Raw genomic sequence first — 26,539 nt, forward strand, 5'->3', positions numbered from 1 at the left:
TGTAGTGGCATAAACTCGGCTCTCTACAACCTCTGCCTCCTGGGCTCAGGTGATCCTTCTGCCTCAGCCTCCTGAGTAATTGTGATTACAGGAGCATGCCACCACACCCGGTTAATTTTTGCATTTTTGGTAGAGACAGGTTTCATCATGTTGACCAGGCTGGTCTCGAACTCCTGACCTCAAGCGATCCACCCACTTTGGCCTCCCAAAGTGCTGGGATTACAGGTGTCTGTGTAATCTTTCATGTAAATTTCGTTTGCAAGCACAAACGTCAATACAATAAAACAAATAAGCTGGGTAAATTCTGGCAATTTCTGGCATCTGTAGGGAGTGTGAGAACAAAAGCAAATGGAGAAATGGAAGGCTTAGTGGCGTTGGGGTTGTTTTTAACCCTGACATGTGTTCAAGGAACTCAAATGAGAAAGGGAGAAACAGAATAATGAAGTCACAAGAAAATATTTCCAAGATAAGTCCTGGCAGCACAACAGAGAAATGCCTGGATCAGGTGATGTGGTCACAGGAAAGCAGGTGGAAAGCAGGCGGAACAGTTCCTGCACGCCTGCCTTGGGACACCTGTGCAAGGACCACAGAGCCCAGTGTCCGCCCCAGGAGGGGACATGCACTGGGATGCCTCGCTCCTACTTCTGTCTTCCTTCTCGAGCTGGGGCGGAAGCCGACAAGAGGCAAAGAGCTCTGTCTCCAGCAGCAAGCAACAACATTTCACCTCATACCATTGTCTATCAATTGAAAATTATTCTAACTCTCAAGCTTCTGAACAAAATGTTTTTGAACTCCCACTCATCCTTCCAAAAACATTTTCTACAAATCCTGGTGTGGTTTATAGCACTTAAAATGAATGAAGCATACTCACAATTGGATTTTGCTCTGCTCACAAATTATGCTCTGCATTTCCTTGGACTCCTTTAGTGGAACCTTCCCCAGGATCTCACTCTCAGTGACATCTGGCACAAAGCACATGTTCCCAGGCCAACCCTTTGCTTGCCCAGCTACTCTGCCCCACCCCCCTACACAAGTTAACTTTTAAATTCAAGTGTACTCAGTGTTCTCTACTTTCTCCACCCCTTCCCTCTCCAGCCCACAATGTTCTGTGAAAAACCAAAATAAAATGGAAAAGCAAAGCAGAGTATTACGAAAAATAAATCAAGGCCACTCTTTTTAGGACCATCAAAGAGTGTTTGCATGGCAGTAAAAACAAGGGAATAAGCAGGCTTTGGAAACAGTAGTTTTGAAAATACCCCCCAACATATTGTAAAGGGCACATATCTAAGCTGGTAACATTATTTTTAAAGTGCAAGGAAATGTTAAAACACACATTTCAGTACAGTGGTTACCCCTGGGGTAGTCAGAGAATAGGATCTGGGAGGAGTGTGCAGGCAGCTTCCCTGGTGGTAAATCTTAAAGTGGAAGGTGAAATCACAAGTTTTGCTTTATTATTATTCTACCCAGCTCACGCATATGTCACATACATTCTCTTTATGCATCACATTATATGTAGTATTTATAAAGAAATAAGGGAAGCAGCAAAACTGAATTTAAAACAAATGCTTATCAGAGAGAAATAAAGAAAGAGAGGAGAGAAAGAAGAAAAGAAAGAAAAAAGAAAACGTGATCTTATTCCTAGACAGGTTCACATTCTAGTAGAGAAAGGAGCCATCTAAAAAATTATTATTAAATATAACATGGTTACCATAACAATAGAATTTAAAAAAAAACACTGCCTCTAAGGGCATACATAGTATTTAAGTTAACAACGATTGCATGTGAAGTTCAAATCCCTAAGTGTCTTTGCCTTAAAAATACAGTTTTACCCTTTATAAGTATCAATATTGCATTACTTTTCCTGGGACCCTTCCCAGACCCCAGAGTCTAGGTAACATGGTCATCCTCTGGGCTCCCACTGGACACTACGCTTCCTCCTGAAACATATCACAACATACAGGGATCCCCTAGTTTATTGTTGTACCCAGTGCCTGGTCACTGCCTAGCACATTAATAAACATTCGTTTAAAAAAACAAATGAGTAGCATTACCAGGTTCAGTTCTTTTAAATGGTAGCTGAGACTGAGAAGAAAAGGAAGGGTGGAAATGCTGAGTTGGAGAATCTTATCCAAAACTTGAGAATGACCCAGTGTTGCATGGGAAAAATCCCTTTACTGTCCCTGGTTCTCTGGGCTGGGCAGTATAGGAGGCTATGGAGCAATCTGCAGATTCTAAACCATTGCCCTCTGTGCACTAGTGCTTCTAAGCTCGTGGCTTGGGTCTTTCACTTCTTCCTCTAACGATGAGGGAAAGGGCATTGGATGTCAGGCAGTAACCCAGTATCGGATACAGGCATAGCCTTCATCTTTCAAGAACAGTCAGGCCCGCCAGTAGTCTCGGCAGAAATCAGATCTTCCTGGCAGAGGCTCACAGAGCCTGCCTATCTCAACCTCAGAGGTGAGTACAAGAAGCCAAACACTCAGGAAGATCCAGTTTCCCTGAATAATGTTGCTGCCATGTAAGACAAGGAAGCATCCCTTACTCTGAAAGTGCCACAAACTCTCCTGATGGAAAAGGATGCAACAAATAGAAACGTCAGCTGAGACCTCAGAAAGCTCCCCAGATATGACCCGAATATCATGACAGAAGCACCAGGTACCAGCAAGCAACTGACGAACTGTGCACCATCAGAGCATGTGCATGTGTGACTAATAACAATGGAATAGAAAGTGGGGCATTATTTTGTTCACAGACTAGCAGAATATAAGTAAAAGTCACCATGCTAGTGGGGATATTGCTAAGGATTTAATTGTTCCATTGCAACTTTAAAATAGAAGGCTTATTCTAGCTAGGCCATCTGAGTGATATTGCATCTGAAATTATGTTTAGCTAAACATATTCAGCATGTATGAACATACATTGATTCCAAGTTCCCAGCCTCTCAAGACCTCATTTTAAACCACATCCTACAAATGCTACCCCCCTGCTCCTTTTTTTCATTCAAGTGACTTGGTATAGTCCTTGGTGCACATGCCACGTTCTTTCCAGGGAAAACAGAAGGAAAGAAGAGAATATGCCAGAAGAAGTGGAAATTAAAGTGGCATTAAAATAAATATAAAGCTGCAAAATATAATCTGGGTCAACTCTTCATGCGTTTTAAAATAAGCACCAGCAGGCTCAGCACATATGGCATTGGTTTTATGTATTTTTTTGGCTCAGATGTCACACAGAATTAGTGCAAAAGGAAAAATCCCAGCATGGGGCCTATTTTTATACAGATTAATCAATCATATCCCATCTCCTCCTCTCCCATCATTCCCCAAACTTTGAATCTAATGAAAAATGAAATTGCTTTTTTTCAAACTACATCATGGAAATCCTTTCAGGAAAAAAAAGAACTTAATATTTGAACCTAGATTTTAATCATCACATTTTAAATTCAAGTTGTAAATATTAACTAGACTTATGCTATGGCTCAGACTGTGGTATCTTACCCATTTTGTTAATAGCAAAACAATTTCATATATATACATACATACACATATATATAGCTATTTAGCAAAACAACAAAGTCACACATTTGAAAAGGAAACAAAAACCACTACTGTATATTTCACTTTTTGTTAGGTACATTCTCATGTACATAAAATCCCACAATTCCCATCAAAATGTTAAGCACATAGTAGATTCTTAGTAAGTACTTGATAAGAAATTTGATAGGCTGAATCAAATTGAAACAAAGAATTGTTCAAGCTATTAGCTAATGCCTCCCTTGACTACCAGGCATTGTAAAAATGATGATAACGTTTATAGTAATCACAATACAATAGAAGTTAATTTTTTTGTATGCCATATGCCATTGATTATTTCACTGAATTTTCAAAGCAGCCTTATGTGAGGGGTACTCTTACTATCTCCACTACATAGAGGAAAGAAAAGTTTTAGAGAAAAGAGTCAGATATTTTGAGGTTAAAAATAAATCCCATACTATGCTGGTTTTTAGAGGTGGGCAGGGGACTTCATTGCAGATCCACTGAGAAAGGGATATGGGGCTTTATACTGTTAGTGCAGTAAAAATTTGGAGAAAGTGTCATCCACATGGTTTCCAGGGCTCCAAAATCATGATCTCTATAGAATTTCTCACACACCCATGTTTGTCTGCTATTCCATCTACTGTTAGAAATTATACTTATGAAATATTAAGTTAATCACCTAAAGTTTGACCCCAGTGACAAAGCCAGGGACAGAGTAGTCCTTGGTACATTCACATTCTCAAAGGGTGGTATCTTTTCACTGTTCTGGGCAATTAAAATTGAGCCATGACTAACCGTTGGAAAAGATGACATAAAAACAGTGTGCCCTTTGCCTAAGTAGTCATGAGCATAAAAAAGTAAACAAAGTTAACAATCTAGCATAATGCTGTGTTCACTTTTTTATATGATTAAAGATGAATTTCTCTTATACTAATATAGTATATGTTTTGCTTTTTGTTTAGAGCTGCCAGATGTCAGCTATATATGTGAACAATCTAAATATCTTAATTTTACACAATTTTAAAGTTACCGAACTAAAGTTGGAGTTACCATAAACATAGTATTTCTTTTGTTTCTACTAATTAATTTTACCACCACAGGCATTAATCATTTGCCCAGCAGATGAAAAGTACTTTAAGATGACTCATGTGTTTTACAACACTACAAACCCAACCTTTATGCTCTTGGAATGTACAGTAAAGAGGAAGTGTTAGGTCAAATTAGTTAATAAAAATAAAAATGTTCCACATCCCAATTCCATGAACATTAACTGTTTCAGAATTTCTACTGGATGCCATGTGAGAAAAGTAAATTAAAACTGGCCAGAGAGATGTGTTCTGAGTAATTTTCATGGTAATCAGGCAGACATGGGTATTCCCTTTCCTAATCACACGAACAGGCTCTCTCTTGATAATAAATACATCGTGTTTCAGCCTACACAGAGGCCCACTTCAAACTATGTGCAGTGCCAATTAGCGTTAATTGTGGCTGTGTTCATCTATTCCCTTACCACACCACTGGTAAGGCCAGGCTTTTCATTTACAAATGCAACATGCAATGCTCATGGTTGGAAGAGCATTCTAAATATAATTGCCAATGGTCAGTCTTTTTCATTTTGGCATCAAATTGACTTACAATTGCACAAATAGACTTACAAATGACAAAGAGTATTTAAAATAACACATGTGTATATTTTTAAAAGTTTAGTTATAAGACCATGCATTCAGAGTATCTGAGAGGTGAAGATGAAAACTTGTTTTAGGCTCCATTTTGGCCTACCACAACTAACTCACACACACACACACACACACACACACACACACACACACACACACAGTCTAGCCTCTGTGATCCAATATAATTATTTACTTACTGTGACTAATACTACTTACTTAGAAGGTAAGCTCCATAGACTTTCATGGCAAACATTGCCTCTGCAAACAGCCTCCCAGCACAGGCTGGGGTATGTCTTTTGCAGAAATACAGTGTGTGCAGCTCATATCTCAGTAGAGTACAGTCTCAGAGTGGGGTATCCATGGAGACTGAGCCTTCTGCATGTGCAGGGCAAGGAAGTTACTCTGCTGGCACCATAGCAACAGGAGGCAGAGGGAAAGCCAGCCTATCAGGGAAGAGCACAGGGCCTTCTCCCTGGTGACTGCAGTGTTCCAATGAAACCATCGCCCTCATGAATGGACACAAAGGATTTGAAGAAATACCAAATTGTCAAATAGAAGTAAATGCCTACACAACAGTCAAGATGAATCCTCGGACAATATTGGACCAAAACGTATAGAATCTTTCCACATTGATTATAATATCCCAATGGGCAAGCAAGAAATTATATCAAACCCCACACAGCCCTAAATTTTATGGCAAACACAAATTTTATGGCAAACACCAAGCACTTTGAGAAAAATTCTTGGTGTACTCCATGAATTCCAGCTATTTAAATATGCATGACAATTCACAACACTGCCCAGAAGAAAGGAATAGGGGAGCCTGATTATTCTGAGGACAGAAAATGGAATACAGAGCTCTCTGGAACAATTTAAGGCAGATTCCCTCTAAATAGAAGTTTGCTCAGAAAAAATGTTTAGTAAGCTTCCACCAAAGCTCTCCATTATTTCAGAATAAGTCTTACTAAGAAGGCATCTGTGACAGAATAAGACTAATGCAGATGAGATGCTGAGTGGACATTCAAATGCCTTAAAGTTGTGCTATTCGTAAACTTTTCTTATTTCCCATTTTATAATAATAATAAAAGTGATCATTTATTGAGCACATACTGTATGCCAGGCAAATATTGTCACTACAAACACAGCTCACTGTCAAATGCCAACACCGATTTTTGCTAAGATAGAGGATGTGCATGTTTACCCCTCAGTGTTGTGTAGTATTTAGGTAATGCATACATTCTGCTACATATCTAACACCTTTCATGATTTTCACAATAATGCAAAGAAGCTACATATTAATTATCCCCTCATATTACAGTTAAAGAAAAAGAGAGAATATTTCCTTATGTTACCAAATAAACTCCCCCGACCCGTGCTGCTCTGCAGGTGACCTGGTCCACTCTACCTCAATGTCTAAATATAAGGTGAAGAACCCCTCCTCCTGCAATTACCTCTCAGAAAAGAAGAAATCCCCTTACATTAGAGTCCTTCCAAAGCCTCTTATTACAGGGCTCTCTCCTAATTACCTTCTTTGAACAAAAAGTGCCATTTGCAAAAGACATATCCTTCTGAATTGGCTGCAATCAGTGCTAATTTTGCTTCCCTTTGGAGAGTCAACTGATGGAATTGTTTAAAATGGAAGAGACAAAGAAATTCACAAACAGATTTTGTAATTATTCCTATGGTATGACTCCTTCAGCCTTTTAATGATCACTTTAAATAGAAATACTGTCAGTGGCTAAGTTGTAGCAATCACAAAAACCTATATTCCTTTTTGCTCTCTCAATTCAGTGACTGAATAGCTTTCGATAATGAAGGATACTCATATATGTATACAAGAATATATGAATATACAGAAAAACCAGCTGTCCCATGCTATCCAGTGACAACCTGCTTGCTAGTTGTACACTAATGTCCTTCTCTATTCTCCTTTTCCATAATAAGCACCCATTTGACTCTGATGTCCTGGCTATAACTGGAAATGACATGTGCCATGGAGTTCAAGGCTACATTGAGCTATGATCACACCACTGAACTCCAGCCTGGGGGACAGAGCAAGACACTGTCTCTCTAAAATAATAAATAATTAAAACACCTAAAAATCTCATTAGGAAAATTAGGGGATCTTATATATTTACTGTCTCCCTATGCTTTTCTGTATTTCCACCACCTCCATCCTAGGCTAAGCCATCCAAATTTAGTGTCTTGCTTCCAGTTTCACCTCATGATAATCCAAGCTCTACAGAGTCGTCAGAGGGATCCCAAACATGTAAATCAAATCATTTCTCCCTTCTTAAAACCCTCCAATGTCTTCACATTACTCTAAGGATATAGACTTCAGCTGCTACCACTCTTCTCCTTTCCTAACTCACCGCTCTGCCCACCACCTGCCACCCCATCCCCAACCCTCCTTAAGCACGGAACAATAAGGTTAAAGTCTCAGCTCAAATGTCACCACCCCAGACACTCCCCTGACTATCCCCCATCACTCTCCAGTTACCTTGTTTTACTTGTCACCATCTGAACTTATCTTGTTTGTGTGCAAGCATCAGCCATCTCCCCCACGTTAAAGGTAGGCATCTTGTTTTTTCACTCCTCTATCCTTAATGCCTGGAACAATGGTGTCAGCATAGAGCAAACACTTAATAAATATTCATCAAATGAATGAATGAAAGCTAGTAAATGTACAGCCAGGAGTCAAACCTATGTTTAGCAGAAACCTCTTCTTGATTACGTGGTGAAATGAGGGTTCCCTTTCCTTTAGACTCCTTCAGAGCGTCACCTTCTTGCAATGTTACAAATATGCCAGTCCGTGTATGTTGGAATACAAGCCTATTGCAGCTGTGCTGCTGAAGCATTACTCCACTTGACCGCAGTCGGCATTCATATAGCTTACTTGGCTGCTCTTAGATACAGGCTTAGGTGGTGGAAGAAATTAACCCATCGAATTGCCCAAGTGAACATACTATGCTGTTCAACAGGTAACTTTCTGTAAATAATCCTACAGTTCACCAAAATGCCATGCAACAGATTGTACCAGCAGACAGTGAGGTCCAGGTATTTATCCCTCTGGCCCCTTTTCTGCTGGTGGCTGCATTCCTCTGCTAAAGTCCATAGTTCCTTCACAGGTGGCCTTGAAGTTCTCTCTCTAGGTTGGTAACTCTACCCTCCTCTTGCTCCTTCAGGATGCAGGAATGGCCCCAAGCTGTTGCCAGCACCCAGTATTTTACCATACTTTATCGAATCCCCTTAATCATGCACATACCTTTGCAGTCAGTCTCTTCAATAAATGCTCCTCAATTAGGGAGGTGGGGAAAGCCCAACCTAAAGCATATATCTGCATGATCTACAATGCTTGGTTTAGAAGTCTGTGTGTAAAAGAAGTTTCCAGGTTTATTTCTGTTATGCTGACAGTTGATAAATACGTTGAATGGTGGGTATCTGGTCTGCTGGAGCTTCCACTACTTTTGAGAGACCTATAACGCTTCCTTCTCAACACATTAGAGTACTGAGTAAGCATTTGGCAGGCCCCCAAATCAGTGGCTAAGAACACTGTGCATGCAATAAATCCCAGTAGACCCAGGATTTGGATGGCAATTACCTTTGGAAAGAAGAGGATTATAATTCACTAATTCTTAGGGAAAAACCATTAAAGGGCCATTTGGCACCATTACATCAATTGGGTGCATCATCGAAAACACAGATGGGAGAAAGGCATGAGAGAAAATATGTAACCCTGCCATAAAGATAAACACTAAGTCCACTTATCACATTTAAGCTTTATTTTACTGGTTTGGTCCCTGCTGGGGAGATGTGATAAACTATAAAATGGCCTGCCATAAAACATGATCTGCTGTATCCTAGGGGAGCATTCTTTCTCTCAGGGTGAAAGAAAGTTTTAGAGATCTATTTCAGTATAAATACAAAAGCTCTTGCTTAAGCTGACAAACTCTAATGATTTTCATTTAAGAAAATATTCATGATATGCAGGGTAGCACATAAGACATTTTGACATGTGAAGAAAGGACTAGCTCATGATTAAGTAGAAAACACTGACGACCTTAACATTTTTTGCTATTCATATCTTTATGGTTTATTTTTACTGATTTGCATCCAAATGGCCTTGTATGTCCAACTTTCTGTACTTCATTGCAGTTACATTGAGGCTCACTGATTTTGTTACTGGCAACTGTCAACATAATGTACATATGGACTGTATCAGCTAATTTATAAAAATTAGTAGGAATTTTTAGGGCTCTACCAACATTTTAAAAAATTGTGTTTTATATCAACACGTCTTTCTTAATTTTAACACTCTCCTAGTGCAATTAAAATTACTCCTTTGAAGGTGGACTTTACTACTATGGCCGCGGTTAAGAGTTAGGAGCAAGGCTACCCTGTTTAAAATCCATTTACAAGCTGTGTGACCTTGGATGAGTCACTTAACCTCCTTGTACCCCAGTTTTCCTATCTGTAAAATGAAGGATAATGATATCCCTTTCTTGCATTGATATTAGGATGAAATGAGTTAAGTGCTTGGAATTTTGCTTGGGACAGGCAGTGCTTGATAACTATTCGTTTAAAAAAACTAATCAAATTTCAGAGTGTTATTCAAGCCCACAGTTACATCTAATGTATCCTTCCAAATATTTTCATAAGGCTCATAGTATCTGAAATAGCTTACAGCCTGTATTTGAGGCTCGGGTTTGCTGCCGGAAGACCTTAGCTTATAACTGGCAAGCTATTAGAAAAATTATGCCTTGCCAAAGTATGCAGAATGTTTTCATATAACCAAAATCTTCCCGTTAGCACTAAAATTTTAATTTTTTTCCACTCTATGGAGACACTGTTAAAATGCTTGGCACATTTTTCTGCCTTCATATACATTGTGTTTTCCAACTTCACCATCACATTGATTCAATCTGCTTTTACATCAATTACTGCACTAAGCGCTACAAGTGATAAAAGCTGTCAATGGCCTAAAACACTTAAAAGGCCACCCAGGCGGAGTGCGGTGGCTCACGCCTGTAATCCCAGTACTCTGGGAGGCCAAGGCGGGCAGATCACCTGAGGTCTGGAGTTTGAGACCAGCCTGACCAACATGGTGAAACCCCGTCTCTACTAAAAACACAAAAATTAGCCAGGCGTGGTGGCAGGCACCTGTAATCCCAGCTACTTGGGAGGCTGAGAAGGGAGAATTGCTTGAACCTGGGAGGCGGAGGTTGCAGTGAGCTGAGACTGCGCCACTGCACTCCAGCCTGGGTGACAGAGAAAGACTCTGTTAAAAAAAAAAAAAAAAAAAGAAGAAGAAGAAAAGAAAAAAAAAAGAAAGGAAAAAAAGCACCACCTAGCTTTTTAGTGGTCTCTGTCTGCTCACTTATATTTTTATATTTTCCCATCTCTGTTCATTGTCAGCCATCAGCTGTAAACTCATACTCCTGTCTGTCCTCCTAGAGCAACTATTCCTCTCCTTTTATGTGACATGGGATAACATAACCTGCTAGATTTTTGTTCCAAGTACATGCAAATTGTGTGTGAGAGTTTTTAGGAGTTTTCCTGTACATGAAGTGCACAGAATGTGTGGCATCTATTTTAAGAGCTACAAATGACCATCAGTAACATTTAGTGAGGAATTACTTTCTGCCAGGTCCAACACAGAGCACTTGATATTCATTAATTTCACCTATTTCATATTTTCCATAACCTATTTTACAGATGCAGAACACAGAGTCTCAAGAAGACAACAAGTAGCTAGAGATCACACAGCTACAAAATAGTGGTATAAAGACTTGAACCTAGTATGCTGGACTCTAGAGCCTAGTGGTTAGAAAGTTCTCCTCCCCCCCACCCAATAACACAAAAGTACTTTTTTTCCCCCAAGATAGGACAAGTTAGGTAACCTGGGGAGAGGCTGTGTAAATCTACACTCTCAACTCCCCTCTAGGTTGTTCAAGTTATTACAAGAATGGCCTACTCTAGGTAAGTTGTCTAGCTGTTTTATTTCACAGAACTAACTTTGAAGTGAAAGTGATGCTCATGGTAAGAACAGAAACATCTGTCAGCTTCACTGTGTGTGCATGAACCTCTATTAAGGGAATCAGTGTTGATTAACCACTAACCTTGTTGGTGCCTTTTGAGTTTTCTAGCAAATGCTTCTGAATGTGGGAAATAAGGTTTTCTAAAGTAACCAATCCTCTGCTATTGTCGTAAGGTTATTAGAGTTCAGCTTAGCTAGGTCTCCAATTTCAGTAGCAGGGGTAGTGTCTGATGACAAGGGGATACTAACTTAGTTTGAATGCTAAGGAGATACAGTGACATCTTTCACATGCAGATTTTAACATTTCAGTTTCTAAATGTGGATTCTTGTAAATTTTAGTGACCCTAACCATTTGCTCTTTACCAGTCTCCTTAATAGCCTCCAGTGCTTTTCTCCTTTCTCACTTTCTACTTATTTGTTTAAATTGTGTAATGGTTTTCCCATCTCTCTAACCTTGTGGACAAAAAGATTTAGTACTTCCCTTTGTAAAACAATGACATTAGATCTTTTTCTTCCTTGCTTTAAGATATTCCCCAAGTAGGAAGTCAAGCCTTAAATGAGGCCCAGCACTGTCATTTAATGTTCTAAGGAAGTAATCCAATTAGGTAGGTCTTTCATTTCTGGGTAGAAACAGTTTCATCAGGAAACTGACTGCAAACTAAATACGGGAGGAGCACCTGGGAGCAGGAACACCTCAGATTCCTAAAACATTTCCCAGTTGTAAAGCCTTCATTTATTTTCTTCTAATCTGTACCACAGTCCAAACTTATCATACAGTATTCTGCCTTAAATTACAAGCTCCCTAAAAGCAGGGATGCTGTGGAGGAGGTTCTTTGTCACAACTTCCCCACGCTCCTCCCACACAAAACATAATCTCTTGCACAAAGTATAAGCTCTACTTCTCATTTAAGTATTTATTGGACAGCTTTAATACTTTATGACAGACACAAATTAGGCTCTGCAGATTCAGCCTTGCGTGTTTTGCAGAGTTGTAGATAAAAGAGAAACATGAAAACACAAAGCCACCATCCAACTGGACTGTAGTACTGTTTTCTTTTGCTCCTTGGTGGCAATTTTTAATTAAATCTGCATAGGCATTAAGTGATAGAAGCCAAAATGACAGAAGGCTCACCGCCTCCAAGAAGTTTCCAGAACCAGTTCCTGCCTGGAAACAGGAAGGGCTTTCCTGCTGCGTGTGCTGCCGGGCCCTGTTGGCAAGGTACAGGCTTGCTCGGCTCACCTTTCCAAGCCCTTCCCCGAGGTCCTGTGACATATTTCCCTTCTTCTTCTGCATCATACACTCAGGGAACATTATTAGCTCTTTATCTTAATGACCAAAGGGGCATTTTAATAACTCCTTCCTGAGGTGAACAGCAGTGTTCCAGAATCTAGAGCAAGAGACCTAAAATTAAATGGGCTTAGGTTACTTAATATTAAAGAGTCCCTGAGCCTCCGTATAAGAGCCACTAATTGCTTGCTATTTTAATAAATTGGTATTGTTATTAATGAGTTGACTTATTTTTAAAAAAGTAGAGCATGCATCAAGAGTTGAAGATCCATTTTGGCTGAGAGGAGATGGTCGCTTGGGGCTATGGAGGAGGCAGGACATTTTGACCTGAGAGCAGTATCCTCTTGTGTTTTAACAGATTATGTCTCTGGATTCTATAAATTTTAGAGTCATCCAGGGGCCTCGCTTCCAGGATTTCCTCTCTTCATATTTATGAGACTGACAGGTTTTTTCTGCTAAAAGTTCAGAGAACTATAGGTCACGGTGCAGATTTTTGTCAAAGAACTTACCGTACAGAATTAGGTCGCACTCAAAAAAGCTGTAGCAACGTTTCCAGTGATGACATTAGAAATTTTAGGCAACTAAAAAAATAAGCTTTAGGGACCCCTTTACCTTGGTTAAATATGAATAAATAAAAAGATCACCAGCTAAAAACTGCTCAGGTGATATTTATGCCTCTGAGCAATTACATTAGAAGCAGTTGACAAAGTTAACAAAAGCGGTTGTTTGAGGCTTTGGCTTTGGGGAAGGGTCATTGAACTAGGATTCATAAATGCTAACAAATGAGATCCATGAAACCCCTGAAATGGTATGTGATATTTTGTGCATATGGACACTCTTCTGGAGTATGGGTCCATAGTTTTAATGATTCTCAAGGATCCATGAATCAAAATAGCATTAAGAAAAACTGTTTTTGTTTTCCTTCCTTCCTTCCATCCTTTTATCCTTCCTTTATTCCCTGTAATTTCTTTTCTTTTCTTTTCTTTCTTTTTTTTTTTTTTTTTTTTTTTGAGACAGAGTCTCGCTCTGTCACCCAGGCTGGAGTGCAGTGGCATGATCTCGGCTCATTGCAACCTCCGCCTCCAGGGTTCAAGCAATTCTCCTGCCTCAGCCTCCTGAGTAGCTGGGATTACAGGTACACACCACCACGCCTGGCTAATTTTTGTATTTTTAGTAGAGACGGGGTTTCACCATGTTGGCCAAGCTGGTCTTGAACTCCTGACCTCGTGATCCACCCGCCTCAGCCTCCCAAAGTACTGGGATTACAGGCATGAGCCACCACGCCCGGCCTATTCCCTGTGATTTCCTCATGAAGATGGAGAGCCATAATACTTCTCATCAAGATGAGTGGCTGCTCTTTAGCAAATGAGTATTTTCTACAGGATTAGGGAATTGCTCAGTGTGAATTCTGTATATATACACAGAGTTTTAAGTATTTTGTTAACATATAATTATTATGATTATTGAAACAAGGAAGGGCCATGATAATATTAACGCTCATATAAACTTAGTTTGTTCTTACTGTGCCATACTTGTCTACTGTTTCACTGTTTCCTTGTATTGCCATCACCATAAAATGTTTTGGGAATGAGGTGGTGGGGGTGGGCTGAGGATAACAAAAATAAAATCATTACAGGTTATGTTAAAACCCTACAATAGCTTCATGATGAAACATACTTTTTTTTTTTTTTTCAATCTATGAAGCTGACATTCTTTCCTACATCATTTTATCTTCTGAATCCCATAGCCTACCTTTGCTGTTGAGGTCAACAAATGTTGACTGAGTCTCTAATGTGCACTAGAGCCTGTGTTCTGGGAATGCAAAAAGAGGATGGTAGGGCCAGCACAGTGGCTCATGCCTGTAATCCCAGCACTTTGGGAGGCTGAGGCAGGCAGATCATTTGAGGTCAGGAGTTTGAGACCAGCCTGACCAACATGGTGAAACCCCATTTCTACTAAAAAAAAAAGTAGCCGGGCATGGTGGCGCTTGCCTGTAGTCCCAGCTACTTGGGAGGGTGAGGCTGGAGAATCCATTGAACCTTGGAGGTGGAGGTTGCAGTGAGCCAAGATCGCACCACTGCACTCCAGTCTGGGCGACAGTGAGAATCTGTCTCAAAAAAAAAAATACAATAAAATAAAAACGTATGAAGTACTGATGTACACCACATGGGTGAACATTGTAAACATTATTCTAAGGGAAAGAAGCCATGTACAAAAGCCCACATACTGTATAATTCCATTTGTTTGAGGTGTCGACAATAGGCAAATAGAGGCAGAGAGTAGGTTAGTGCTTTTCAGGGACTGGGGAAAGGGGGAACAGAGTGCTGATGGACTTGGGGTTTCTTTTTGGGAGTGATACAAACTTTTTGGAATTAGTAAATGGTGATGTTTGCACAACAGTTTGAATAGGCTAAAAACTATTGAATTGAACACTTTATAGGGTGAATTTTATGGTATATGAATCATATCTCAATTTTTCAAAAAGGCAGTTGAGCTAAGGGAGACAGTCCTAGCCCTTGGGTACACAAGGTAATTGTTTTATTTCTTGGCTAAAATTTCATGACATTCTTTAACTCATTGTCTCTTTCTTAAATATCAAGGGTGCTCAACACCCTTTGTATCATCCCCATCTTTCTCATTTATAGGCTGTCTTTCCTTCTTCATTGTGTAGCATTCCTTTTCTTTTACATATTATTCCAAAGTGGGAGACTATTAACGAATTCATTATGACTAACATTTATCAGGCACCACTAGGAAATAGAGGATTTCTTTTTCACAGTTTAAGTTTTCCTTGGTGACAAAATGACCTAATCTTTGGTTGACAAGAGCAAGATGAAGAATAATCCATTATGATGTATTGTGTACATCAGTGACTCAGGAAGAACAAAAGCAGAAAGAAATGTTAGCATCCTATGGAAGAGGACACAGGGCTAGGCCTTGGCCCCATCAAAATAAAACCATCTGTAGCTCCTTGCACAATAATGTCATCACCAAACAAAACTTAGAAGACAAATGTAAGAAACAAGGACTCATGCAAGCCAGTAATCTGTCTTTTCAGCTCATAAATATGGATAGCATAACTGTGAATGTTAAAGAGAATAATGCAATGTTAGAGGATACCTCCCAATGACGATGAACACATCCTTTTACTTTAAAGTAAATATACTGCATGTGTATTTCTGAGATACAAAATATTCATTTACATAGTGCAGATTCTGAGAATTGACCTTTTCTGATGCTGCTGGCATTTCATTCACTGCAGTGATGACCTCCATTTCATCTTATAGCTTCTAATATTTTGTAATTATTGAACATTTACATGTGTTTATACATATCATATTCATATTTAAATCTCTAAAAGACTATAACTAAGTTAGCAAGTATGCCCAGCTCTACATATTTGCATCAAGATAACTCCCAGCTCTACAGAGATTTGCATTGAGATAACCTGTTCTCTTCACGGTTTGTGGTCACTTATGATAGTACTAACTAATTGCTTAGTATAATTGAATCTAGAATTACTCATATAGTTTAAATGCTTGTTAAAACATCTGGCTTATATTTCTTCACTTTTGTCTCTTTTTTAAAAAAAGCTCTTTATAATGAATACACATGTCACTATAGGTCACTATAGTTACTCAGTTATTAAAAACCATTTCAGAAAATAGTCCACTTTCCACCCTGCCTCCTTTAAAAATGATGCTTTAGATGCTGGGTACGGTATTTGTGATCCCCGACTCGATATACAGGTGTTTAGTTTTAAACATGAAACTACTCCCATCACATTGTTCTGATGAAAACATGACGAGTAAGTTCACTGACCTGGTTTCACAAGGCCTGACTTTGATTCCTTCTTATATCGAGAGGACTGAATGCTTCCTTCACCAACCATTCCAATCGTGCATTTCTTTCTGGTGAAGCCTTCATCACTTCCAGGGCAAAAGCCAATGGGGCTGTTTCCAGCATCTGAGGGTGTCTTCACAGGAGACACTGACTGGCTGCTAGGACAGCCTGTGTCATCTAGAAGACAGGAATCAATAAGTGTTTAATGATGAGGAGGAAATCAATGATGGTGAGAAGCCATGCGGTGCACCACACACACGCACACGTGCACTCGCACACGTACACTCTGCTTATGAAGCCCAGGTTAACTGCTGTGGACTCTCCTCTCATGACGCTCCTTTCATTTTTCCATATTTTAATGCAAAACCTTTTTTTTTTTTTGAGACAGTCTCACTGTGTCACCCAGGCTGAAGTGCAGCGGCGTGATCTCAGTTCATTGCAACCTCCACATCCCAGGTTCAAGCAATTCTCGTGCCTCAGCCTCCCAAGTAGCTGGGATTACAGACGTATGCCACCAGGCCCGGGTATTTTTTGTGTGTATTTTAGTACAGACAGGGTTTCACCATGTTGGCCAGGCTGGTCTCAAACTCCTGGCCTCAAGCGATCCATCTGCCTCAGCCTCCCAAAGTGCTGGGATTACAATCATGAGCTACCATGCCCGGCCCCTTGTAAGCTTTTTGACACAAATATTTCTGTAACACTCATTTTGTCAAAACATAAAGACATGTCTGTTTCAACACTTTATATAGTGTATTTTTGGGTCATATGTGTCCATAGATTTTTGGATGTGTTTAGTAATAAGAAGTTCACCAGAACAATTCAGGATCTTTAGGGTGAACTCTTCAGAGTTTACATCTGGAAAATAAAATTACTTGAATATTATTGACCACATCCAGTTTTGGATCACTTGACCCATCAATTGGTTAACAGAGTTTGAAAGATAAGTCATCCGACTTTAGGGTTCAAAGAAGCAGTGTGAAGTGATCCTGTTTTATCATACACACACAACCAAAAATACATAAATCAGATATATTGCTATCTGGAGTAAACTGGTAAGATGAAAATGATTTTTAGACTAGAAATGTTCCTTTAACTTTCAAATAACAGATTATTACCAGGGTGATTATATTAAGTTAATATGCACGATATGAAGTGACCTACATAGATGCTTATTATGGAAACAGGAAAGTCATACTGCTGACTCCTATAAATGCGTTCCACATTTATTAAAGTACTTAGGATAGTTGGTTAATTTATTTATATTTTGATGAGCAGAACTGTATTGGACCTCAAAGCCAAATCAGTATTACTTAAAAGTACATCTACTCAAACTGATCAGTTAGTGGTAAATTTACTTTACTAAATAATCTTTATTATATGAAGATGTTTTGATGCCAGAGTTACTTTAGTAACTCATTAGACAAAGAACAAATAAAGACATTCAGTACTAATAACTTTTCAGACATCTTGTGAATATTACGGGAACTAAAATAATGTGCCATCTACCAAAGGCTATCTTAAAACTCTACAGCTTGAATAAAGATAGAAACAGAACTAAGCCTGAATAAAACATGCTGATTGCTAGAATCCATCTAAAGAAAGAATTACCATTGCTTCATTTTTTGGCCTTTATTTCATTTTTCAATTACAAAATATCTCAATTCCTGGAACAGAGTGAACTTGGCACTAATAAAATGACTTATTTCTCTTGATAATCGTGTTTTGACTTTTTGGTCTATCAGCATACGCAGGACCTCTGTGGTCTGTTTCTGGAAGTGAATGGTTTTTAGGGTGCTGCTCATGCCTGCAGTCTTCGGGCTCTTTTAAATACGTTGCGTTCTTCCTGAACTCCTGAAGAAACTCTGGCCCTGAATAACAGGGTGATGAGAACCCTTCTTGGTGGCTGTTGCTCAGCTCTTTCATCATTCACTGCCCTTGCCTTTCCCTTACACTTACACACCCCAGGCTTCAACCCAAAGATATTTGAGCTCCTTTTTAAAGGTGTAAAGTTGCTAATTACTCAGACACAGATTCCAGCAATTTTACAAGGCACAACAGGTCTGCACAATGCCTCAAGAGAGCCTCTCTTAATTCCTATCCCAAAGCAGATAAATGAATGAAATCTAATCATTCAACATTCCATGCTGTCTTTAACATTATTTCCTTATGAGTCAGTTCCATAAATCACTTCTTTTGAAAGAGAGATGTCCCCACAAAATAAAAATCTGTGCTTCAGAGTGTCTAACCTAAAAAACTCAGTTTTCCTGAAAACTCTCAGACTCACAGGGATAAAATTAAACAATTTCCAGCATTGAGAAATGCTATCAAAATCATACCTTGGGTTCTATTACATTTTTCTGAAGTTAAATGAGAAAGAATGTGTGCACACCATGTTTTCAGTGCTAGTCCTTTCAAGGATTAAGTGCTGGGGTCTGGTTAAAATTTGAGAACTGAAATTATTTAGAGTGGTGGCAGTGTGTAAGAGGCAGTAGCAATTTTTAACCTGGAGTGTGATGCCTCACCTGTCATCAGTATTTACAGCCAGGATCTCCAGAAGCAGGGAATGAGAAAATTCAAACCTAAATACATCCTGAACTTTGGATCCATCTTACAGGATTTAAACCACTACAAAAAGATCTCTTAACTCTCTACTCTTGTGCTTCATATGGTGTGTGTTGGGGGGGCAATACTAGGAATATAAGACATGGTCTTTCATTGGTTAAATGAATATGTATCAAGTCCTGGCACTGAACCAGCCCACAGGCATTGTACCCAGGCCCCACCCTGGTGGAGTTTATAAATAAGCCAAAAGGATCTGGGTATATGTCACTTACAATGCATAGTTATTGTAAACTGGCAAGTCTGATAAAGTTAATCCATATCCAAGAAAATCTGTGGGTTATGGAAGAAGCCTGGGGCATTTGCCTGTTTTGTCTAATGCACCCGACACTAACAAAGGAATCTAGAAAGGGCAGGGCCATGAATTTTCCTACTACAGAGGGCACACTTTATCTATGCAAAGTAAGACCCCAGCAAAGGCACAGAGCTTCATGTGCTAGGGAGTAACCTGAGGTATTTTTCTTTGTGCAGCACTGAAGAAGAAGTTATCTTTACAAGTCTTATTTAGGGCTCCTTCTCTGCTCTCCCTCCTCCTTTCTTCCTCTTCATGGCCGGTTGGAAGCTGACCACCAGTTCAAATGAAGATAACACTCCTTTTCAAAATTCTATGAAAAATATTCTTAGTTCCCATTTATCTGAGATTCTTTTTTTTTCAAGACTTAAATGACTTCTGCTTCATTAAACAATAAAATAATATGAGTATCTATCTATCTATCTATCTATCTATCTATCTATCTATCTATCATCTATCTATCTATCTATCTTTTTAAGACAGAGTCTCGCTCTGTCGCCTAGGCTGCAGTGCAGTGGTGTGATCTTGGCTCACTGCAGATGCCACCTCCTGGGTTCAAGTGATTCTCCTGCCTCAGCCTCCTGAGTAGCTGGGATTACAAGCATGTACCACCCAAACTCAGCTAATTTTTGTATTTTTAGTAGAGATGGGGTTTCTCCATGTTGGCCAGGCTCGCCTTGAACTCCTGGCCTCAAGTGATCTGCCTGCCTCAGCCTCTCAAAGTGCTGGGATTATAGGTATGAGCCAGCGTGCCTGGCCACATTTACTCTGAGATTCTGAGAATAGTAAAGCCAAGCTGATGTTCTTTGGTTGTTTATATCTAATCTTACCATACTAAACTACATGTGGACCAAGCACATATTAAAGAGATTTATTTATTAAACCTGCTTCAGTTAAACTATGGGAATGTGCCTTCTGTTTTCTTCTGCTACCTGACTGCTGAATTTTCCTGTACAATCTATAGATTTATATATTTTTAGCTTTTATAAGTTATGTTAATATAAAGAAATTATCAATGACAAAGATTTCTAATATGAGAAAACTGTTTCTGGGCACGAAATTGCAGAAATACTGAATAATGTGCCCCCAAAGTGTGGGATGTTCCACATTTCCAGAAGAAGGCCTGACAAAACTATGAACATTTTAGTCTGGTTTTGCCACAGGGAAGCTTTGCGCCAAGGTTTTAGGGAAGAAGATGTAGAAGACTGTTGGTCCATTACAGAGAGAGGAATTTACATCACAGGAGCGTGCGCGCGCGCACACACACACACACACAAACGCACACCCCTCTTACATAGTTGAGTTTTTACATTTCTTTCTTCATTATTCAAAGTAGGTATAACTTTACCTAAAAAACATGGGATCACTTTACATGCTTTATACAGTGTGATCCACTTGAAAATATGGGACAATTTCCTTCCAGGGGCTGCTATTTTAAATCCTCCTTAGACGGGTCCAAGATAGCCTCTGGTGGAACTCAGGTAAACATTACCCTCCTCAAGGCCACATCTAAATGATCACCTTCTAAGTGAAGGAGACTAATTTACATGTCCTCCTTGATTTTATTAGAAATCAGTTCTTTTGTTGTTGTTCTTGTTCATTTGCTTAAAATTGGTGAACACACAGGATTAAGGGTAGTAGAAAGAATACTCACAGATCCAGGAACCTCAGAGGTTGTGGGCTATCTAAAGTACTGTTAAAAATATATGTCTATGGAATGGAATAGTTTCCAGATTGTCATCAAGAAAATAAAAAACATGCTAAGGTCTATAAAGACAGATGCGAAAAACCAGCAACTATTACAATTTTGTAGCCTAAATGTTGTTAAAAAATGATTTTAAAAATCTATATTTCCTCTCTCTTTACATTATAAGGTCTTTGAAATATAGGATATAGTTAATAATTATGTAATTACTTATAATTCTGAAAAATATGTGCCTAAGTTCTTTAAAAATACTTTGAATCTCATTTTAAATGTACTTGCTAAATTAAATTAAATCTGTTGAGGTTGTTAAAATTTTAGCTTAACTTTTTAATTATAAACCCATAATTCTTATTGTGTGAAATCTGAAATACAGAAGAGTATAAAGAAGTAAAGAATAAAATAAAGACATACTATTCTCCTATAATTGTGTTACCCAGAAAAATATTTTGTGAATACAGTTTGCTTGCCTGTTTGCTTTTTGTTTTATCAAATTTTCAACATATATTTTAGACAGTTTCATTATCTGTCATTGAAAATTTCTCCCTGGAACTTGCTAGGCTAGAAAGAAAGAAGCTATTAAAGACTAATGGGAACCAACACAAAGGAGGCCCCATTGGTCAACAATGAAATAATTTGAGTACCAAAAAGAATAATAAATGCAAGTGACTGATAATCACTGGATATATAAAAAAAACTGAGTTCATGGTCATATAAAAAAACACATTACAGAGATAGAGAAAGGCCCCTTTCACCCCCAAAATGCCCAACTCCCTGGAAATCACTGGAAATTATCCACGAACAATTCTTTATATTGAAAATTGGCAATTAAAAGGAAAGAATTAGCATATATTTTTATTGTAAAAAGTGTTCCTATATAAACTGTATCTCAGTGTAACTGAAATCCCTCATTGTTATTGGAAAGTTTGTCCTTACAAAAGCATTCTGGTTAATGAAAACAGATGGAATAACAGAAATAGAAAATTGCTATTTTGCAACCTCGAATGAAATAATTGATTTAGGCAGCAAATGTAATAGATAAAACCACTAGACAAAGTCTAATGGAGAGTTTACAGTGGAGGGATCAGGCCTTACCCAAATGCACCCATCGAGTCTTCTTCCCATCGCCAACAGTGGGAAAACCCCTCTGATGGGATGTGATATGAGGCATGCAGCACTCCCTATGAAGAATTCTTGCCACACACAAACACACAATTGCCCCCAAATCCAATCAAGGCTTTAAAGCTAATGTTCACCTTATGAAATATATAGAAAATAGAATAATGAGTTAAATTAGAGATTGGCAAACTGCAGCCTGCAGGGCAAATTTGGTCCACTGTTTTTTGTAAATAAATTGTTATTGGAACACAGCCATGCCCAATCCTTTATATATTGTCTATGGTGGCTTTCAAGGCTACAATGGCAGAGAGTTGAGTAATTGCATCAGTGGCCATCTAGCCAATGAAATAAAAAATATTTGCTATCTGGCGCTTTATAGAAAAAGTTTGTTGATTTCTGGGTTAAATGATACCAGGGAAGCAAATAGGCACTTTTGAGAAAATCTGGGATATTTCATCATTCTCTGTCATACCAAGGAATTATGTTAATCATGTTAGAAATGAAAAGGGCACTGTGATTACGTAAGAAAATGTGCTTTTTTTAAAAAAAAAAGTTATGCATGCTGAGGTATGTTGGTAGACAAGAAATGACATGATGTCTGGAGATTTGCTTTAAAATGTTTCCACAAAGAAAAGAGACATAACAAATACAGGAATATCCTGCTATCATTTAATCTAGATAAGTGGGTAATAAGCACATGAGAGTTCACTGCACTATTCTCTGTTTTTGAGTATGCTTTTTAAAAGTTTCAAAGTATTTTATTTGATTTCTTGAAAACATTATTTTAAAGGAGTGCTGATTTAAAATAGATATAAACATCACTTTTAAAATGTGTTTGTTTATTTTCAGACAGAGTCTCGCTCTGTTGCCCAGGCTGGAGTACAGTGGAACAATCATACCTCACTGCAGACTCCAACTCCTGGCTCACGTGATTATTCCACCTCAGCCTCCCTAGCAGCTGGAACTACAGGCTTAGGTCACTGTGTTCAGCTTATTTTTAATTTTTTTTAAGGGACAGAATCTTGCTTTGTTGGCCAGGCTGGTCTCAAACTCCTGAACTTAAGTGGTCCTCCCACCTTGGCTCCCAAAATGCTGGGATTACAGGTGTGAGTCACTGCGCCCAGCCAAACATAGGATTTTTAAAGACCAATCCTTCTTGTAGGAAGAATTAGTTTGTTTTAATTTTTCTCACTGTTATTAAAATTGCTTTACTACACATTTTATAGATACATCCTTGGTCAAATCTTTGATGAGCTCATAAAATGTATGTGTAGTGGAATTACTAAAACTTCCAAGAAGTTTGAGACAACTTATATTCCTATTATTGTATGAACATACTCCACTTATTAAATACCTGCCAGTACTAAATATTATTTGGTTTACATTTCTTAAAGTTAATTAAAAACAAATTTTGATGTCTTAATTTACATGTATTTAATTGTTTGTGAAGCTCAATGTCTTTGTATGTTCATTGACCTTTTAAATTTATTCTATGAATTGTTCAAGTCCTTGATAATTTTTCTGTTTGGAAGTTCAGGTTTTCTTACTGATCTGTAAGAACTCTTTATATGTTAAAAGCATCAACCCTTTTGTTTGCTTTTGACTTGATAATGTTTTTGACATTCAAACCTTGCTCTATTCTGTCAAATCTCTCCATACGTTCCTTTGTGATTTCTTCCAATACTTTTATGCTTAGAATGTTTTTATTATTCAAAGATCAACTAAATATTTGCCTGTACTTTCTCCTAGATATTTATAGTTTCACTTTCATTTAAATTAAATCTATCTGGAATCCATTTTAAAATATGGCATGAGGGTTAGATGCTAACTTTATTATTAATATTGCAATTTTAAGGAAGTCTACCACATTACTTTGCAATGCTTTTATGATGAAAATTTGAAAGCAATAAATACTTTTTGCATAATTCATTTATATATTTCAAAATATTAGATTGCCCAAAGTGTGCATGTGCGTATCATAAACTTTCTTGATAATTAAACAAAAATGCCTAAAAACCAGTGCCATCAAACAAATTTGGTGGCAATTATGATGACCAAGTCCCTACTAAAATCTTCTAGCTGAGGCTGGCAGATCCCTTGAACCCAGGAGTTTGAGACCAGCCTAGGAAACATGGTGAAACCTAGTCTCTACAAAAACTACAAAAATTAGCTGGGCATGATAGTGCATACCTGTAGTCCCAGCGGAGGTTGCAGTGAGCCACGATTGCACCACTGCACTCCAGCCTGGGTGTCTGAATAAGACCCTGTCTCAAAAATAATCTTCTTACACCGATTACAGGTAAGAATAAAACACCAAGCTCTAAAAATTACAACCATTAATAAAATATTTCTTCAAAGTCCAAGAAGCATCTCTAAAACTGCTGGCTCCTTTTTGAATTTAGATCTCAGAGCCCACTGGCTTTCAAAAATGTTGAACTAAACAATTCCAGAAGACACTTAAAAACATTAATGGAGGAAAATATGATTTTGTGCCATAATGTCTTGAAACATTCAGTTATGGTTTGATTCTGTTCGATGTTCAGTTGTATAATTTTTGTGGGGGGGAAGTTATTGCTAGTTTAAAGAAACATTATTTTAAACTATATGGAAATCTAGTTGATTCTCATGAACAATGGAAGCATTTACTGACTACTTATTCATCTGTTCAACAAATATTTATTGAATATCTACTATGTGTCAGACACTAATATAGCTCTTATTATGCTTATTGCTCCAGATACTGGCATTTTTGAAGATAGTTTAATGGAGACAGATAAAGTGTCACAGCTTAAACTCATGATAAATATAAACCAGGTGAAATTCTTACCACATACCTTTCGGTGCATTTATAAGGCAAGAAAACTAACATTTATTAAGTACTTATCATGTGGCAAACACATTAATTATTATCATATAATTTTAATAATATGTTACTGTTGGGAAAATGGAGGCTCAGAGAGGTTAAAAATTTCATGGGCACAGAGCTGCTGGGCAATTGACTCAGGATTCAAAGTAAGGTTTGTCTGACAAACTGCCTGTTTTACTCACCACCATAAGCTAGCTGTTTTCTAAAATTTTCAAGTTATGTTTGTTCCAAGAGGAAACATCAGCAATTCTGGGAATGCCCAAATTAAAAACAGACAAAGGAAGCTGTTAGAAAGAAGCCATCCCATAATAAACAGACCACAGAAATTGGAGGCAAGAAACTCTTTCTAGTTGTTTCCAGTATTCCTGCCTCAACACATGTAGCCATATAAAACGTGTGCCATTCTGATAATTTTGAATTCTAGGTTTTCAACAGCAAACCTTGCATTTCTATTCCTTCACCCAATTTTAGCATCTTTTTGTAGTGGGAACTCAGAGATGTACAGAGCTCTAAAATATGCTTCAGTATTATACAATATGTCACTAACCAGTGGCTGATGTTGAAGTGTATAAATCTCATCCATTCATCCACTTATTTTTCTCTACAAATAATTATTGATTTCCTACATGTGTCAGGTATTGTTCTAGATATTAGGGAGGTAATGATGAGTGAGACACTAAGATCCTTGTTCTTAACAAGTTCACATTCTAGTGATGAGGAGAAACAGTTAATAAGTTAAAAAATACATAAAAAGATGTTTTGGGGCCAGGTGTGGTAGTGACAGCTCATGTAATCCCAGCACTTTTGGGAGGCCAAGGTGAGAGGATAGCTTGAGGACAGGAGTTTGAGACCAGCCTGGGAAATGTGGGGAAACCACATCTCTTTTTTTTTTTTTTGAGACAGGGTCTCACTCTGTCACCCAGGCTGAAGTGTAGCAATCAGGATCACTGCAGCCCCCACCTCCTGGGCTCAGGTGATTCTCCCACCTCAGGCTCCCATTTAACTGGGACCAAAGATGTGTGCCACAACAGCTGGCTAATTTTTTCTTTTTCTTTTTCTTTTTTTGTAAATAGGATCTCACTATGTTGCCCAGGCTGGTCTCCAACTCCTGGGCTCAAGTGATCCTTCCACCTCAGCCTTTCAAAGTCCTGGGATAATAGGCATGAGCGGCTGCACCCAGCCAGAGACCCTCATATCTACAAAAAGATTTTTTTTTTTAAAGTTAGCTGGTCATGTCTATAGTCCCGGCTATGCAGGAGCCTGAAGTGGGAGGATTGCTCACACCCAGGAGGTCAAGGCTGCAGTGAGCTGAGGTCGTGCCACTGCACTCCAGTCTGGGTGACAGAGTGACATCCGTCTCAAAAAAAAAAGATATTTGGGATTTACTGTTAATGAAGTATACTCGATGATATTATGTAGACTAGGTGGGAGGTGGGAAGCTACTTCATTAGATATATTGTCATAGAAGGCTCCTGAAGAGGTCTTTTGACCCTAAACCAAAAAAAAATGAGAAGGAAATAATCACACAAAAGGCAGGAAAAACAAGGAAAAGAATTCCAGATAC

The 26,539-nt window shown here is 38.4% G+C and overlaps 1 protein-coding gene across 19 annotated transcripts in view, besides 2 other annotated features; it reads right to left on the minus strand.

Moving 5' to 3' along the window:
• Positions 1–26,539, minus strand: part of SYBU (syntabulin) — a 117,623-nt gene that overhangs the window by 28,508 nt on the left and 62,576 nt on the right. For 17 of the 19 annotated variants that reach the window (NM_001099743.2, NM_001099744.2, NM_001099746.2 and 14 more), the window contains one exon: positions 16,357–16,554. In NM_001099743.2, coding sequence (NP_001093213.1) covers positions 16,357–16,554 — 198 coding nt within the window. Of the gene's footprint in view, positions 1–871; positions 975–5,425; positions 5,578–16,356; positions 16,555–26,539 lie in introns of those variants that run through there. The other 2 variants (NM_001330596.2, NM_001363032.2) reach the window with 2 other exon arrangements.
• Positions 11,205–12,000: an enhancer, noted in NCBI's record as "NANOG hESC enhancer chr8:110625919-110626714 (GRCh37/hg19 assembly coordinates)". NCBI's record gives its function as "activates a minimal SCP1, AML or CMV promoter by ChIP-STARR-seq in primed H9 embryonic stem cells {active_cell/tissue: H9 hESC(primed)}" and the evidence as "EXISTENCE:reporter gene assay evidence [ECO:0000049][PMID:30033119]".
• Positions 11,537–11,636: an enhancer, noted in NCBI's record as "active region_27813". NCBI's record gives its function as "activates an Ori minimal core promoter by ATAC-STARR-seq in GM12878 lymphoblastoid cells {active_cell/tissue: GM12878}" and the evidence as "EXISTENCE:reporter gene assay evidence [ECO:0000049][PMID:35858748]".

The sequence above is a fragment of the Homo sapiens genome, chromosome 8, assembly GCF_000001405.40.
Source record: "Homo sapiens chromosome 8, GRCh38.p14 Primary Assembly".
NCBI classification, from domain to species: domain Eukaryota; kingdom Metazoa; phylum Chordata; class Mammalia; order Primates; family Hominidae; genus Homo; species Homo sapiens.